Source organism: Homo sapiens, chromosome 11, assembly GCF_000001405.40.
Source record: "Homo sapiens chromosome 11, GRCh38.p14 Primary Assembly".
NCBI lineage: Eukaryota > Metazoa > Chordata > Mammalia > Primates > Hominidae > Homo > Homo sapiens.
This window is the reverse complement of record NC_000011.10, coordinates 23,160,061-23,177,322: the sequence shown is the minus strand read 5'-3', so window position 1 is coordinate 23,177,322 and position 17,262 is coordinate 23,160,061. Positions and strand designations below refer to the sequence as shown.

The window sequence follows — 17,262 nt, the reverse complement described above, 5'->3', positions numbered from 1 at the left end:
TTCAAGATGTATTAAAGACTTAAATGTTAGACCTAAAACCATAAAAACCCTACAAGAAAACCTAGGCATTACCATTCAGGACATAGGCATGGGCAAGGACTTCATGTCCAAAACACCAAAAGCAATGGCAACAAAAGACAAAATTGACAAATGGGATCTAATTAAACTAAAGAGCTTCTGTACAGCAAAGGAAACTACCATCAGAGTGAACAGGCAACCTACAAAATGGGAAAAAATTTTTGCAACCTACTCATCTGACAAAGGGCTAATATCCAGAATCTACAATGAACTCAAACAAATTTACAAGAAAAAAACAAACAACCCCATCAAAAAGTGGGCAAAGGACATGAACAGACACTTCTCAAAAGAAGACATTTATGCAGCCAAAAAACACATGAAAAAATGCTCACCATCAATGGCCATCAGAGAAATGCAAATCAAAACCACAATGAGATACCATCTCACACCAGTTAGAATGGCAATCATTAAAAAGTCAGGAAACAACAGGTGCTGGAGAGGATGTGGAGAAATAGGAACACTTTTACACTGTTGGTGGGACTGTAAACTAGTTCAACCATTGTGGAAGTCAGTGTGGTGATTCCTCAGGGATCTAGAACTAGAAGTACCATTTGATCCAGCCATCCCATTACTGGGTATATACCCAAAGGACTATAAATCATGCTGCTATAAAGACACATGCACACGTATGTTTATTGTGGCACTATTCACAATAGCAAAGACTTGGAACCAACCCAAATGTCCAACAATGATAGACTGGATTAAGAAAATGTGGCACATATACACCATGGAATATTATGCAGCCATAAAAAATGATGAGTTCATGTCCTTTGTAGGGACATGGATGAAATTGGAAATCATCATTCTCAGTAAACTATCGCAAGAACAAAAAACCAAACACCGCATATTCTCACTCATAGGTGGGAATTGAACAATGAGATCACATGGACACAGGAAGGGGAACATCACACTCTGGGGACTGTTGTGGGGTGGGGGAAAGGGGGAGGGATAGCATTGGGAGATATACCTAATGCTAGATGACAAGTTAGTGGGTGCAGTGCACCAGTGTGGCACATGTATACATATGTAACTAACCTGCACAATGTGCACATGTACCCTAAAACTTAAAGTATAATAATAAAAAAAAAAAGAAAATTAAACAGAAATTTTAAAGTTCTCCTGAATTTCCTGTTTTGGTCAAATGCACGTAGCTCGCCTTTTTTCTTCTTTTTATGAATAGACTCCAGCTTTAAAAATATATCTACAGCCAAACACCTATCAGCACTTACAGGGCTACCAACCTTGTACAAGACAACATCATCTTTTTTTGGTTTGTTGCATTAGCTCCCTAACCGTTCTCTTGTACCCTTGCCATCCTCAGTCCACAGTCAACACACTGTCCAAAGTGACCATTATAATTTTCAGTTGGCTTAACCAGAGATGTTCTCAAAACACTGCAATATCTTCCCATTAACTCAATGTAGATCCCAAGTCCTTGCAATAGATTACAAAGCACCAAGTGATCTGGGCCACAATTACCTTTCTGACCTTTACCTCCTATTAGTCTCTTTCATAGCTTCTAATACATAGCTTTTGTATCATCTTACTCCTATCTTCTGGAATATTCTTCCAACTTATATCTAGGTGGCTGACTCTCTCACCTACTTTAGTTTTGTCGTTGTGGTGGTTGTTCTCAACTGTTGTCTTCTGAGTGAGTCCCAATTTAAAATTGCAACCTTCTGTCCATTATACACACAATTCCCTATCTTCTTTCTCTCGTTTATTTTTCTCCATTGCATGTACCACCTTGTAAAACACTACAGCATCTTTTTTTTTTTTTTTTTTTTGAGATGGAGTCTCGCTCTTTCACCCATGCTGGAGTGCAGAGGCACAGTCTCAGCTCACTGCAACCTCTACCTCCTGGGTTGAAGCAATTCTCCTACCTCAGCCTCCTGAGTAGCTGAGATTATAGGTGCCCACCACCACACCCAGTTAATTTGTTGTATTTTTAGTAAAGATTGGGTTTCACCATGGTGGCCAGGCTGGTCTTGAACTCCTGTCCTCAGGTGATCCACCCACTGTGCCTCCCAAAGTGCTGGGATTACAGGCATGAGACACTGCACCCTGCAAAATACTACAACACCTTTATGTTCAACCAAAAACCCTCTCTCAAACTTCAAACTCACATATCTAACTATTTACTCTACCCATCCCCCTGGATGTCTGAAACTGAACTCTATATCTTTCCTTGAAAATGTGTACCCTATCAAAGTTATTGCAGCTGTTGCCAACATCTCTGAAAAGATGTTTGGGCCAAAGCTTGGAAGCCATTCTCGACTTCTCTCTCTTGTGAAAACCACAAATACAATTTACAATAAATATTATTGGCCCTGCCACAAATCTATTCAGAATTCTACAACTCAGCAACTCCAGTATACCCACTCTGGCCCAAGACACTATCACAACTGACTTGGATGATTTCTATCATGTCTTCTTTTTTTCTATCCTTGACATTCTATAGCCTGTGCTTAATATAGCAGTCAGAGTGTGTTGTAATTTATGTCAGATCATATCAATATCAACGAGCCCACTTCATTTAGAATAAAATCCAAAGTCTCTATAGAGGTTTACAAGGCTATGACCTGGCCTCCTAATGCCACTCTGACCTCATCTCCTAGCACTTCTCCCCTCCTAATTCCATAACACTGGTCTTTCTATTTGCTGTTCCCAGAGCCTGCCAGGCAATCTACATTATTAGGGCCTTTGTTTTATCTTCCCCCAGATAACTACTTGGCTAATTCTACTATGTTCTTCAAGTCTTTGTTCAAATATCTAACCTGACCATATATTTAATATTGTGAACTTCCCTCACTTAAGCTACACTACATATTCTTTCTTATAGAACCAATTATGTTCTAATATTAATATTTAACTGGATGGAAGCCCTGTGAACAACAGGATCTTTGTTGGTCTTGTTCATTGATATAACCCAAGTTCCTAGAGGAGTACTTCATACAAAGTATCCACATCATCATCTATTGACCATTTGCTTGTTTATTAACAAGGTTGGCACATTGTGTGACAATCAGGAGAGCTATTCAAATGTATTAGGATTGTGTCGTGAATAGCCTATTGGCCTATTTAGCCTATTGGGCTAAATGCAGAGCCCCTCACCCACCCACCCTCACTAAAATGCAGTCTTTATGAGGGTAAGAGTTTTTGTCCATTTTCTTCATTGCTATATCCTTATGTCCTGAGCAGTTTTCAACACAGAGAAGGTGATTAATAAAGTAATTGTATGGTAAATAGATAATGGAGCAAATGCTCCATTACAAATTATTAGAAGAAAAAAACTGCTCTGGGGTGATAGCATAGACTTCTTAAATATAATACTGCCAATCACTAATGTAATGAAACAGATACCACTTGTATGTCTCCCATCGCAATCAATACAGCTTTTTTAAGGAGTTTATGATTCACATTAAAGAGCGAAAATCCTAAACCATTGAGTCTTAAATTTATTTCTTCACACTCCAATTTACCTCTTATCACCATAGGAGCAGAAAAAGAAAAGGAAGATAAAAAATCAAAATGCTTACAGCTGAGCACAAATAGGAATAGGAACAAGAGATACTCTATGAATTAGGGCCAGAAAAAAAAAAAAAAAAAAAAAAACACAGGATAAAGTGGAGAGACATTGCATGCTGCTTCTTTTATATATGCTGGTGTTTGCAAAGAAGATTGTGGATTACATTGTGATTTCCTATCAAAAGTAAAACCTAAACATAGAAAACACCTAGAAATGGCAAGAAAAATCTTTTGCAAAATGAAAAAGGAATTCAGTATACAGCACACACACAGAGTTTCCTGCAACCTATTATTGTAACTGAATTTCAAAACTTTGAAAAGAAATGGGATCTGCAGGGTCTGCTGGTGCTTATTCATGAGCAGGCTTTACTCAGTGAGCAATAACAGGGGTTGCAGGTTTTTGTTTGCACCCATTGATGGGAGTCCATAAAAAAGTGTGCTTCCAGGATCCTATTCTACACCATCAGTTGTTCAGGCATGCTGCTGTTCCATACTAATCTCTACCAACATCCTGTTTTTAGAACAACTTTATTGAGGCATAAGTTACACTATATAACATGTAAATTATTATGCATATCTAATAATTTTTCCCATTTTTAGTGTACTAGTCAATGATGCTTAGTAAATTTACTGCATTGTGCAACCATCACAGCACTCCTGTTCTTCAACATTGTTATTACCCTGATAAGACCCTTCATGCCAGTTTACAGTTAATCCTCATTTCCACTCTCATCCATAGGAATTCATGATTACTTTTGTCTCTATACATTCTGTTTTCTGAACATTGAATATAAATAGAATCATACAATGTGTGGTCTTTTTTTGTCTGACTTCTTTCACTTAGCATAAGATTTTTGAAATGATCCATGTTGTAGCATGTGTTAGTATTTCATTGCTTTTTGTTGCCAGATTGTATCCCATTATATGAACAGACCATATTTTGTTCAATCACAAGTTGATCTACACCTGGGTGGTTTGCACTTTTTGGCTATTGTGATTAATGCTTCTGTGAACACTTGGATGAAGAACATGGACAAAGTTTCTGCCCAAACATGCTGGTGGTGAGGAGGAGATAGGCATTGAGATAAATAAAAGTAAAATGCGTGCTAGAAAAATCATAAGTGCTATGAGGAAAAAGAAAAAAGCAGAACAGGGTTAGAGAGGTCAATAGTTTGCAGGTGGAATGGAGAGACAGGTTGCACTAATAAATAACCTGATGTGGTAAAAACCTTGAGTAGAGGTTAAAGGCTTCAAATAAGTTTTCTGGGGAAAGAACAGAAATTGAGAATGTATATGGAATATTAAGAAAAAACAGAAGGTGAGAATATATCTGGCATAAGATCTGTATAAACTGTTAATATTTAGGTCAGTAACAGAGACTGGCTATTCTTTTTCTAATTTCAGATCTGCCTCAATTAATGTTAAGACCCTGCACATATTATTTTGTTTTTTAATATTACTATTTTCTCAACCTCACAATGAGGAATATTGACTAAGATTGTTCAGTTTCTGATATGGTTTGGCTGTGTCCCCACCTAAACCTCATCTGAAACTGTAGTTTCCATAATCCCCATGTGCTGTGGGAGGGATCAGGTGGAGATAACTGAATCATGAGGGCAGTTTTCCCCATTCTATTCTCGTGATACTGAGTTAGTTCTCAAGAGATCTGATGGTTTTATAAGGGGCTTTTCCCCCTACTTCGTTCTCACTTCTCTTTCTGCCACCATGTGAAGAAGGACGTGTTTGCTTCCCCTTCCACCATGATTTTAAGTTTCCTGAAGCCTCCCCAGCCATGCTGAACTGTGGGTCAATCAGACCTCTTTCCTTTATTATTTGCCCAGTCTCAGGTATGTCTTTATTAGCAGCCTGAGAATGGACTAATACCGTTCCCTTTCAGCTAATATAAGTATTAGTAGTAAAATATTTTTAAAATACCATTGAATATGATATTTGTCTTGAAAAATAGATATTTCTTTAAAGAATGAATGCAAGCAAATATCCAGTATCTACTTCCCCAAACAACAGGATGGAAAAAGAAAATGAGAAATCAAGAGAGCCGGAAGGAAAATTTAAGATGGTTTCTAATAATTATTAAAAAGGAATTAAATAGTAAGCAGACAAAAGGGAATCTTGTGTCTAAGAAAGAAATGTGGATTACTAGAAATAGCCTGCATTCAGGAAGGCAAGTAAAAGCAGACAATTATTGACTGCTACCTCTCAGATATAAAAATGCTTGCGATATGAACAAATGAGCTTTGGAAACTTCAGTTAATCCACATTTATTGGCATAGATATGAAGCAGTATTGTGAAATGGTTAAGATAAAGGTCCTTAAATGCAGATAAAATTATTTCAGCCTACAAGTCCATCAGGTACTAGCTGAGTGTTTGGGAGTAAATTGTAAAAGAGATTGAAGCCTCAGTTTTTGTGCCTATAAAATGAAAATGATAATATCAACTTCATAAGATTGTGAAGATTATGTTAAATCCAACATATTCAACATGCCATGCAAAGGCACTGGCAAAATCCTGGCACAGAATGCACAATAAACTGTAGAGATGTTACTGCTATTAATGAGAGAAGTACCCTTGAGAGCATGAGATGCTTCTTGATTCTTCCCCAAAACAGGATTAGTCAGCTTTAGGTTTGTCCCTATTACCTCCAAACCAAAGAAAATTAGAAGATAAAAGGACAATTTGAGCTGCTATATAATCCCCTTCGGCAAATCTCAACTCGTTAATAACAAACACATGAACAGAGTCCCAAGTCCCTCGGTGTACTTTATCTCTTCTAAGGCTATATTGAAAGAAAGAAAGGAAGGAAAGAAGGAAGGGAACAAAGCAGTCTTTGCCTGCCATCTATTCTAGTTATATATATTTTTCCTAATCCCCAATTACCTCTTTAGTCCAATTAAGTCTGTAAAGGGCATTGGAGACAGTGAAGCAAAAATAAATATTCATTTTTGAAGCAAAGCAATTTTTGTTCTCCTTTTCAAAGCACTAAAGTACCTCTCTAAATTCAAGGCTTATGCTGAGTACCTCTCACTGCTGAAGCCAAATCAAGGCATACCTACAGCTGATCCTGAGTAAATCTCTCATTTTTAAACAGATCAAACTTCAAGGAGCATGGTAGGCTTCAAACATGCAGACTAGCATTCAATTTTTCATTCTCAATGAATCCAACACCCACTTGACTGATAGTTAAATCTTTTTCCATTTCAATGTTTGTCACTCACATGAGCAATTAACGGCTTCTTACAGTTGCAACGATTTTATTGGTACATCCCTATGAGAATTCTCAGAGTAATTTTGTAATGATATTTTATTTGTTTTACTTCAAATTACATGGTTATGAGAGTTCTTTTCAAGGTAATGACATTTTGCCTGAAAAGTGAATGACAATGAAGGCAAGAATAATGCAAAGTTCAGGCTTGAAGGAGGAAATGAACTTTTTTTCAAGGAACATAAAAAAGCCAGTGTTGACAAAATGTAGGGGGCAAGAGAAAGAGAGGTAGAAGGGGGTATAGAGCGAGGTAGAGGCTAGATTATTAGTGCTGCTGTGAAGAGAATGAAGTTAGGGAGACCAGTTGGGAAGATGTTACATTTGTGAGCATGCGAGTTTGACGGTGGTTTTGTCTAAGGTGGAAGTAGTGGAGAGGGAGAAAAGTATATTGATTTGGGGTGTGATCCCAGAAAGAATTATTAGGATTATTAATGGATTAGAATAGGGAGAGTGAGATAAAATGAAAAATTAAGGATGACTCCTAGATTTGGAAGTCAGCAAATTGTTTGACAGTGATGCCATTTACTGAGATACTGAAGACTGATTTAGAAGCAGATTTAAATATTGCAGAGTGGCCATATTCATCCTGCTACCTCCCGGCATTTTAAATGATAACTGAAATGTAATTAGGCTATCCACACTATGAATTCACACATTTAACTAATGTAAAACAACATTAATTCACTGGTTTGAGTTTGTAGCTATAACATACACTTATCCCTGTATTGCCACCCTGAGAGGCATGATTTCAAGATGATTAAAATGGCCCTTGAACTAGGCTTCCTTCTTTTCCAGCTTTGCTATGCTTATTTCAGTGACCTTGAGCTAATTCTTAGTCTTTTCATTCCTCAATTTTTTCACTTATAAAATAAAAATATTAATAGACTGTGCTTCACTGGGTAAGATTAAACATGTTAGTTAATACCTGATACCTCAGAACAGTGCCTGGCCCAAAGGATATGCTTAAAAATATTTTTATTGTAAATAAGAAATCCCTCATCATGAGTATCTATTAACTGCCATATGACAGGAAATGAAATAATGTTCTTCTTGTGGATTTGTCCTCTGTTTGCTCAGGTGGTAGTACCTAAGGGCTTTACTCCCTGCTCGGTCCCTGCTCAGCCTATGACAGATATACTATGGTAACGTTTTCTAGACAACATCTTTATTTAATTATAAAAATATCTGGCACTGAATGATTAATTCCCATATGCTAGTAAGGAATGTTTATACATAATTTAATTTATCTCAAGAATTCCATGAAACAAGTTTTGTAAACCCTTTTTCACAAATAAACTGAAGCTTAGAGAGGATACAAAATTGATACAAGCAGGCACAACCAGTAACTGACTAGGTTTGGCATTATATTCAAAACTATATAAATTTGAAATTGTGCTTTATCGTTTCATGACCATCTCCAGTTAATTCTGAAATCCCAGTTCTCACATAGCGGTAGACAATTATAATGTTGTTAAAGGAGCGATAGTGTTCATTTCTTCTCTCTATTAAAGTGACCACACCCCTCTCTATGAGACATTTCCTCCCACACACCTGTCACTTCTAGACCTCTCCTGAGGTGCTTTCTCTCAGTCACCTCACTCATCACTTTCCCTATGGCAGAATTTCCCACAGTGCCTCTGATATCTCACACATTGACCTTCTTATCACTGTTTCCTTCTTCCTTGAAAGAAGCATATGGCTTCACTTCATTCTGAGTCTTTTTCATACACCCCAGCTCTAAGACTAGCATTCAAGACCCCTCGACCTGTGTTAGAGATGGTCTTCCTAGTACTCATGGGTCTACATTCCGGAAGCATCAACAGAGCCTTTTAAACCTGCAAAGTCCCAAAAGCTTATTGTTCAGAACAGCAAAACTGATGTCTAGAAAAACTATTTTCTGCAAAGGCAGACAGGGGAAACCTAGTTCTCTTCTTTTTCTTTTTTTCTTTTTTTCGGTTACCTTTTCGAAACATAGTATTCAAGTTCAGTTGATTGCATTTAGAATCGATTAGCTTAATTACTAATTTTCTCAAAGTATAGCAAAGTGGATAGAGCTTGAATGTTTATACTTTGTTGTCCTTCCTTCTCACCCCCCACACACCTCTAAAGAATAAGTAAACTTTTTCAATGTTACTTATCAGAAGACAGAATAAAATCATAGAGATATAAATCTTGATTTTTATGAGCAAAATGCTTAAATACTGCAGAACTATTTAAAAATTCATTATATAGGGAGCAGATGGAAAGGGCAGAGTTGAGGAGAGACAGAATATGGCTCTGGGAGGTAAGAATAGAATTGGAAGAATGTGTCAGTTAAAATAAATGTTTTGGTGTTACAACAGGGATTCTCAAAGAGGATAAAAAAGTAAAGGATACTGGGAATTCTGAGATGTGGTAGGATAGTGACTTATATGCATTTTTAAGATCATATGCAATATTAGAACATCATTTTGCAACTTAAAAATTATAATTCTCAAAATACAAACTACAGAATGTAGAGCTTAGAGAATTCTCGGCTGATGATGCGTGGTTTAAATAAGGATTGAGAAATATTGCCTTAGAAATTCGATGTACTCAGCTAATTAAATGAATATATAAATAAATCATTTGGTTAAAAGTTGCCATAGAGTACATTTTCCTGCTCATAATAGGAAAGATTATAAATTGCTCAGCATTATCCTTTTGAGAAATTATGATTCTTTTCTATAAGAGAAGGAATAAAGAAAAAAGGCATAAGTCTTTAAAATCCTTTTATCCTAAACTACTGCCCTATGCTGCTTACACTTAGCATGATAAATGATTGCTGATTATATGAACAAGTCAATTAAACAGAAAAGAGAGGCAATTGTGTCATACATGCTTGGAATATGTCTTATGAAACAGCTTGGTTTTCAACAATGACTGTATCTATTGAGACAATTTTCTGCGATTATCAATAGATCTGAAAGTTCAGTTCTCTTTTTCAGTTTTAAGACCCAGGGAGCTATATAGCACAATATTAGGACTTATGCTTAATACTTGACTTGAGACTCTCAGGGTGAATTCTGGTTCTTCAGCTTGCCTCGTCTGTGATCTTGGTGAAGTTACTTTAGCTTCTAACCCTGAGTTTCTCATACGCAAAATGCAGAGTAATAGCAACAACCTTACAAACTGGTAGTAAGATGAATCGAACTAATGCAAGTAAGGTATTTACCACAGTGCCTATACAGAGAAAATTCTCAAAAATGCTAACAGTTTTTACTATCTACTTGTTTTTCTCCTTCACATGTACCTGGCTTATTCCAATAACATGGAGGAAATGTCGTGGCTCATGTATTTTGTCTTCCTGTAAAAGCAGCATTATCTTGTGATAAGCCTGCCACTTGAAGTTAGAATATCTAAGGTTTAAATTCTGGGTCCACAATTTACTAATTGGATGAGAATGGGAAAGCCATTTAACTTTTGTGAGTCTTGATTTTCTCATTTGTACAGGATTTATTGAGAATTAACTGACCTGTAAATTACTGGCAAATACCAAGGAGATTTCTCTCTCCTTTTATTTAGTCTTTCTCCCCTAAATATCGTTGTTATTACAATATAAATCATTGCTCTAAAGGTTTAATATTTTAAAACTTGGAACTCACAAAATTCCAAAGGAACTAACCTTTTTTTATTCCAATGCAGAAGCTGTAACATTTTGAGTTGCTGAAACATTGAGTTGCTGCAACAAGAACACAGAATAATATGCAAGGCAACTATATTACGTAAGGATAACATCAGTGACTATACCAAATAAACCCCCCAAAGTTAGTGATTTAACATAACAGAAATGTGTTTTCTTACTCAAAATACAATTAGCATTCCCAACCAGTGGAAAGACTCTTCTAACAGGGATTTCAGGGACTTGAGCTCATTTCATCCTGGGGCCTCTGACATATTCTCACATTGCCATGCTCATCTGCATCTAGAAAAAAAAAAGAAAAGTATAAGAGAAACATGCAGAGAATATTTTTTGTGAGTCAAGCTAGAACTTAGTCATATAGTTGCAACTAAGTAGGGGGGTGCTAGAACATGCATTTCACCTGGGTTTCAGATAATACTTTTTAATATTTTATTATTGAGTTATAGGAGTCTGATGTATTCAGGATACATCCTTGGTTAAGCATATGAATTGCAAATATTTTTCCCTGTCTATGCTTTGACTTTTCTTCATCTTTATAGTGAAGTTTGACATAGGGAAGATCTTAATTTTTATGGGTTTCTATTTATCAATTTTTTTGTTTTATGCCATTTTTATGTCCAGTGTAAGAAATATTTGATTTTATAGTTATTATTCTATATTTTCTATGGGAAGTTTTATAGATTAAGCATTTATATCTTATAAATTCAAGTCTATCATATCTGTTGATATGAGGAAGGGTTTAGGGTACTTTTTTATATTTAATTTTGCACCACTGTATTTGTCCATTTTCACACTGCTGATAAAGACATACCTGAGACTGGGTAATTTATAAAGGAAAAGGACTCACAGTTTCACATGCCTAGGGAGGCCTCACAATCATAGTGGAAGATGAACAGTATGTCTTATGTGACAGCAGACAAGAGAAATGAGAGCCAAGTGAAAGGATAAACCCCTTATAAAATCATCAGATTTCGTGAAACTTATTCACTACCATGAGAATAGTATGAGGAAACTGCCCCCATAATTCAATTATCTCCCACCAGGTCCCTCCCACAACACAGGGGAATTATGGGAGCTAAGACTCAAGATGCGATTTGGGTGGGGACACAGTGAAACCATATCAATCACCATTTATTGATGGTTATTGAACCATCAATTATTGAAAAGTATCCTTTTTCTATCAAGTTAACATGAAAATTGTTGACAATCAATTAGCTCTAAATACTAGTTATCACATTACCCCAAAGTTTACCCCAAAGGTTAATGGCAGCTGTAGTCTCAATGTATCTCCAAAATTCATGTATTGAAAATTTAATCCCCAACGCAACAGTGTTGAGAGATGGGGACTTTTGGAGGCGTTTAGTCATGAGATCTCTCATGAATCAAACCCTTTTATATTACTGCCAATATAAAAGGGTTTGTAGGAGTGAGTGTCCTTTACCTGCTCCTTCCATCTTCTACTATGTGAGAACACAGTGTTCCTCCTCTCTGGAGGAAGCAGCAAAAAGGTATGCCATCTTGGAACCAGAAAGCAAACGTGCTGGCTTCTTAATCATGGACTTCATAGCCTCCAGACTGTGGTATTCTGTGATAGCACAAAACAAACCAAAGCAGTGGCTTAAAACAGCAAATATTTATAATGTCACAGTTTTTTGTGGGTCGACATCTGGGAGCAACCTACCTGGATCACTCTGCCTTGAGGTCTCCCATGAAATCGCAGTCAAACTATTGGCTAGGCTCTTCTTATGGCAAGATTTTCTGGGATTGCAGTATCTGTTTCCAAACTGAGGTGGAAATTTACATGTGTGTCTTCCTATCTCCCCTCCTCTAAGGAACGTGCATGTACCAAGTATATGTGAGTAGGCATAAATCAAAGGCTTTGATTCTTTTCAACCACATTTCCCTGTCCCTCTTCTACCTTCATAAGAGTAGCCTTAAATTTATGGGTTTCTTTTGTTTAACTTCCAGATATGGTTTCTTTTGAAAAATGAATTTCATTCATGAAGATAAAAGTTTGAAGAACAGGGACTGTTGAGCTAAGATACATGTATATGTCTGTAGACTTTTTAATTTTATTTTCTTCCTTGCTGTCAGTTATTCCTTATCACTTCTTCTATTACTAGATGTCTGCCTCTATCAGAGCTTTTCTTTCCATATTGCTTCTAGTTTGCAAATTCTGAACTGCTGTGAGACAGAAAATCATATACATGTGCTACTGATTAGAATTCAAATATCTGAGAAAGTTCCTTAAAAAGAAAAGGCAAAGATTTAAAAGCTTTTAAAAATACTCAGAAATATGCACAAATAATTACAATGATTATGATAATTTTTTGTAATTATGCCTGTACATTACGGTTTTCCTCCTAAGCATTAAGCTCAATCAGAATAGATACTATGTCTGCTATTTTTTTTAATTGTAGATCTTGTGCTTGGCACACACAAAAAATCAATAAATGTTTCTGTTAGACTGGATTCTATAGAGCTGAGATTATTTTAAAAATTCAGTAAAGGCTGTTGCCTCATTTCTGTAAGTTTTCAAAATATTGAGACACATATCAGAATAAGTAAATGTCACATTGGCAGGCTTTGCTTTTATTCCAGCGATGTTCCTATTGCTTATAACATTTTTAGAATCATTCCTCAGTTGTGGAAAATCTTTATTATATGATTGTAGATTTGCTATTAAGATTAGGCAAACATCATTCTCTACTCAATGCTAGAGACTACAGTGAATCCTAAAATTTTATAAACCATTAAAATGAGGTTTGAGGTACGACAATAAAGATTTTGATGTTTATAGGTTTCTATAACTTTACTTTGACTTAAAAATAACCCCAGATGTTACTAAACAAAAAAAGGACTGTATGAGTTTGCAAGGTGGATTAGATAAATGCATTCAAAATCTACTTGGATATATAAGTGATAGATAGAAATTGTGTTTTAAATAATCTGACTACTACGTAAATTCTCAGTTATACTCTGAAATTGTCTCTAAAGATTTAGATCACAAGTTGCCAAGGTTAAATATTTTATATTCTCTTAATTCAAAATAGAGAAAATCTCCTTGTATTACGGTTCTCTAGAGGGACAAAACTAATAGGATATATATATATATATATATATATATATATATATATATATATATATAGTTTATTGAGTAGTATTAACTCACATGATCACAAGGTCCCACAGTCGGCTGTCTGCAAGCTGAGGAGCAAGGAAGCCAGTCCGTCCCAAAGCTGAAGAATTTGGAGTCCGATGTTTGAGGACAGGAAGCATCTAGCACAGGAGAAAGATGTAGGCTGGATGCTAAGCCAGTCTAGCATTTATTTATTTATTTATTTATTTATTTATTTCTATTTTACTGTAAGTTCTGGGATACATGTGCTGAACATGCAGCTTTATTACATAGGTATACATGTGCCATTGTGGTTTGCTGTGCCTATCAACCCATATAGGTTTTAAGCCCCACATGCATTAGGTATTTGTCCTAATGCTCTCCTTCCACTTGCCCCTCAACCCCCGACAGGCCCCAGTGTGTGGTGTTCACTTCCCTGTGTCCATGTGTTCTCATTGTTCAACTCCCACTTATGAGTGAGAACATGCGGTGTTTGCTTTTCTGTTCCTGTGTTAGTTTGTTGAGGATGATGGTTTCCAGCTTCACCCATGTCCCTGCAAAGAACATGAATTCATGCCTTTTCATGCATAGTATTCCATGGTGTATACATGCCACATTTTCTTTAGTCTATCATTGATGGGCATTTGGGTTGATTCTTAGTCTTTGCTATTGTAAATAGTGCTGCAATAAACATACATGTACATGTGTCTTTATAGTAGAATGATTTATAGTCCTTTGGGTATCTACCCAGTAATGGGATTGCTGGGTCAAATGGTATTTCTGGTTCTAGATCCTTGAGGAATCACCACACTGTCTTTCACAATGATTGAACTAATTTACACTCCCGCCAACAGTGTAAAAGCATTCCTATTTCTCCCAACAGTTTAGCCTTTTCATGTTTTTCTGCCTGCTTTATATTCTACCTGCACTGGCAGCTGATTAGATGGTGCCCACCCAGATTAAGGGTGGGTCTGCCTTTCCCAACCCAATGACTCAAATGTTAATCTCCTTTGGCAACATGCTCACAGACATACCCAGAATCAATATTTCGCATCCTTGAATCCAACCAAGTTGACACTTGGTATTAACCATCACACACTTCTTCAGCAGTATGCCCAAGATATAAACAAGAAAGAGATGACAAGTTTTGTCTTTTTATTAAAATTGTATACTTGGCAAGGGCTAAACAGACTTAGGTATATTAAACAGATATTACTAATACAATAGTAGTAAGATATGATGCATAAAATGTGCTAAGTTTTGCAAGGTCGAAATACTTATGTTCTGTATATACTGTATAAGCAACTAGATGTGAAGCTAGCTCTCTTGGAGTGCTTTGGGCAGTTATTTAAAGAAAAATCAGATAAATTGCTGCCTGGGCGCAGGCTATTTTGTCTTGATGTAGGGTTGCCAGATTTATCAAATAAAAATATAAGACACCCAGTTCAATCTGAATTTGAGATAATCAATGGGTAATTATTTATAAAAGCGTGTTTATTTATAAAATATTTTATTTATAAATGTAATATAGTTTTATAATATGCAATATTTGGGATATATTTATCCTAGTTATTCACTGTGTATCTCAAAATCATATTTAACTGAGCACACTACATTTTATCTGACAATCATATTTTTTAAGTTTTACTGAAACATTCACAAACAATTCACTCATTTTTAGTATATAATTCAACGGTTTTTAGTATACTCAGAATTTTAAAACCATCACCACAATTAATTTTAGAACATCTTTGCCACTATAAAAATAACCCTATGCTCATTAGCTGTCAATCCTCATCCTCACACACGTCCCCATTAGTGGTGGCTCCAGGCAATCACAAATCTACATTCTATTTCTAGATTTGCTTATTGTGGGTATTTTAAATAAACAGAATAATAAAATATGTAATCTTTTATAACTGGATCTTTTTATTTACCGTAATGTTCTCAAGGATTTTTTTCTTTTATAACATGTAGCAGCATGTTAGTACTTTATTCATTTTATTGTTAAATAATATTCTACTGTATGGATAAACCACATTTTATCCATTAATCAGTAGATGGACATTTGAACTGTTTTCATTTTTCCTATTACAAATAATGCTGTCATAAATTTTATGTAAAATTTTTTGTTAAGAGTGGAAATTCTGGTTCATATGATAACTCTATTTTTAATTTTTTGAAGAACTGACAAAATGTTTTCCAAAGTAATGGCACCATTTTAAATCCCTACTAGTAAGCATAATGATTATAATTTCTTCATATCCTCACAAACACTATCTGTCTATCTGATTATAGCCATTCCATTGATTGTGAAGTGGTATTTTATTTCAATGTCTATTTTGTCTGATATTATGATAACTACTTTAATTTTTTTATAGTTGTTGTTTACGTGATAGTGTTTTTCCATCTTTTAACTTTCAATCTATTTATATATTTGATTGTTTTTCCTATAGACAATGTATTGTTGGATCTTGGTTTTTATGTACTCTGCTGATCTCTGCCTTGTAATGGAAATGTTTCATTCATTAATGTTATTGATATGGTTGCACTATGTCCGTAATTTTGCTTTTTGTGTATCTGTCTAATGTTTTTTATTCTCCTTTTTCTCTTTTACTATTTTCTTTTAAATTAAGTAAATAGTTCCTAACGTAGTATTTTATTTTCTTAAAATAAATCAAACTCACTTATAAAATATATTTCATATTACTTTCTTATCGATTGCTGTATGCCTTACAACATACATCTTATCAGACTCAACATTTATAGTAACATAAATCCATTGAGACATAGTAACATTAATTCTTTATAGGTCTATTTATTCTACTTATTCAATAATTGTTATATATATATTACATCTACATGTTACAAACACAAAAATATATTGTTATAATGCTTGTTTTTATGTAATTTTATGTCTTTTAAAGAACATGAGAGAAGAAAGGAAAGCAAAGTAACTATTAGCATTGTTATGTTAACATTATTCTTTACAATTTCTGGTTCTCTTCATTTTTTTCCTGTTGATTCAAGTTGTATCTTAGTGTCATTTCATTTCTTTAATACAACTTTGCTCCAATTATTTCTTTTGTGCTCTTAATGTCAAATATATTAGTTTTGTTTGCATTATAGGCTCAACACTATTATACATATATTGTTTTATGCATTTATTTTGAATTAAGAGAAAATAAAAATATGCAATTTAATGTCTTATATAACTATTCATATAATTACCTCTATGAGTGTTCCATATATATGTATACAAACATATATATAAATTCAAATTACTGTTAGGTGCCAAATGCTCCTAGCCTATTAGCCTGAAAAAAATCACTGAGTATTTCTTGTAAGGTAGGTATGATAGCAACAAACTCTTTTAGTTTGTTTTGTTTTTATTATCTGAGAATGTATTTTGCTTTTATACTTTGAAAAATATTCTGGATATAAGACTTTTGGTTGACCTTTTTTTTTTTCTTTCAGCACTTTGAACATTTCATCTCATTGCTTTCTGGTCTCCATTGTTTGTTTGTTTGTTTGTTTGTTTGTTTGGCATAGAGTCTCCCTCTGTTACCCAGGCTGGAGTACAGTGGCACAATCTC

The 17,262-nt window shown here is 35.1% G+C and overlaps 1 long non-coding RNA gene across 6 annotated transcripts in view; it reads right to left on the bottom strand.

The window, feature by feature from the left end:
- LINC02718 (long intergenic non-protein coding RNA 2718) overlaps nucleotides 1-17,262 on the bottom strand; it is a 376,384-nt gene that overhangs the window by 28,475 nt on the left and 330,647 nt on the right. For 5 of the 6 annotated variants that reach the window (NR_187208.1, NR_187205.1, NR_187209.1 and 2 more), the window contains 4 exons: nucleotides 13,721-13,827; nucleotides 11,990-12,133; nucleotides 10,710-10,830; nucleotides 10,531-10,587 (listed from right to left, as the gene is read on the bottom strand). This is a non-coding gene — a long non-coding RNA (long intergenic non-protein coding RNA 2718). Of the gene's footprint in view, nucleotides 1-10,530; nucleotides 10,588-10,709; nucleotides 10,831-11,989; nucleotides 12,134-12,229; nucleotides 12,333-13,720; nucleotides 13,828-17,262 lie in introns of all 6 variants that reach the window. The other variant, NR_187207.1, reaches the window with a different exon arrangement.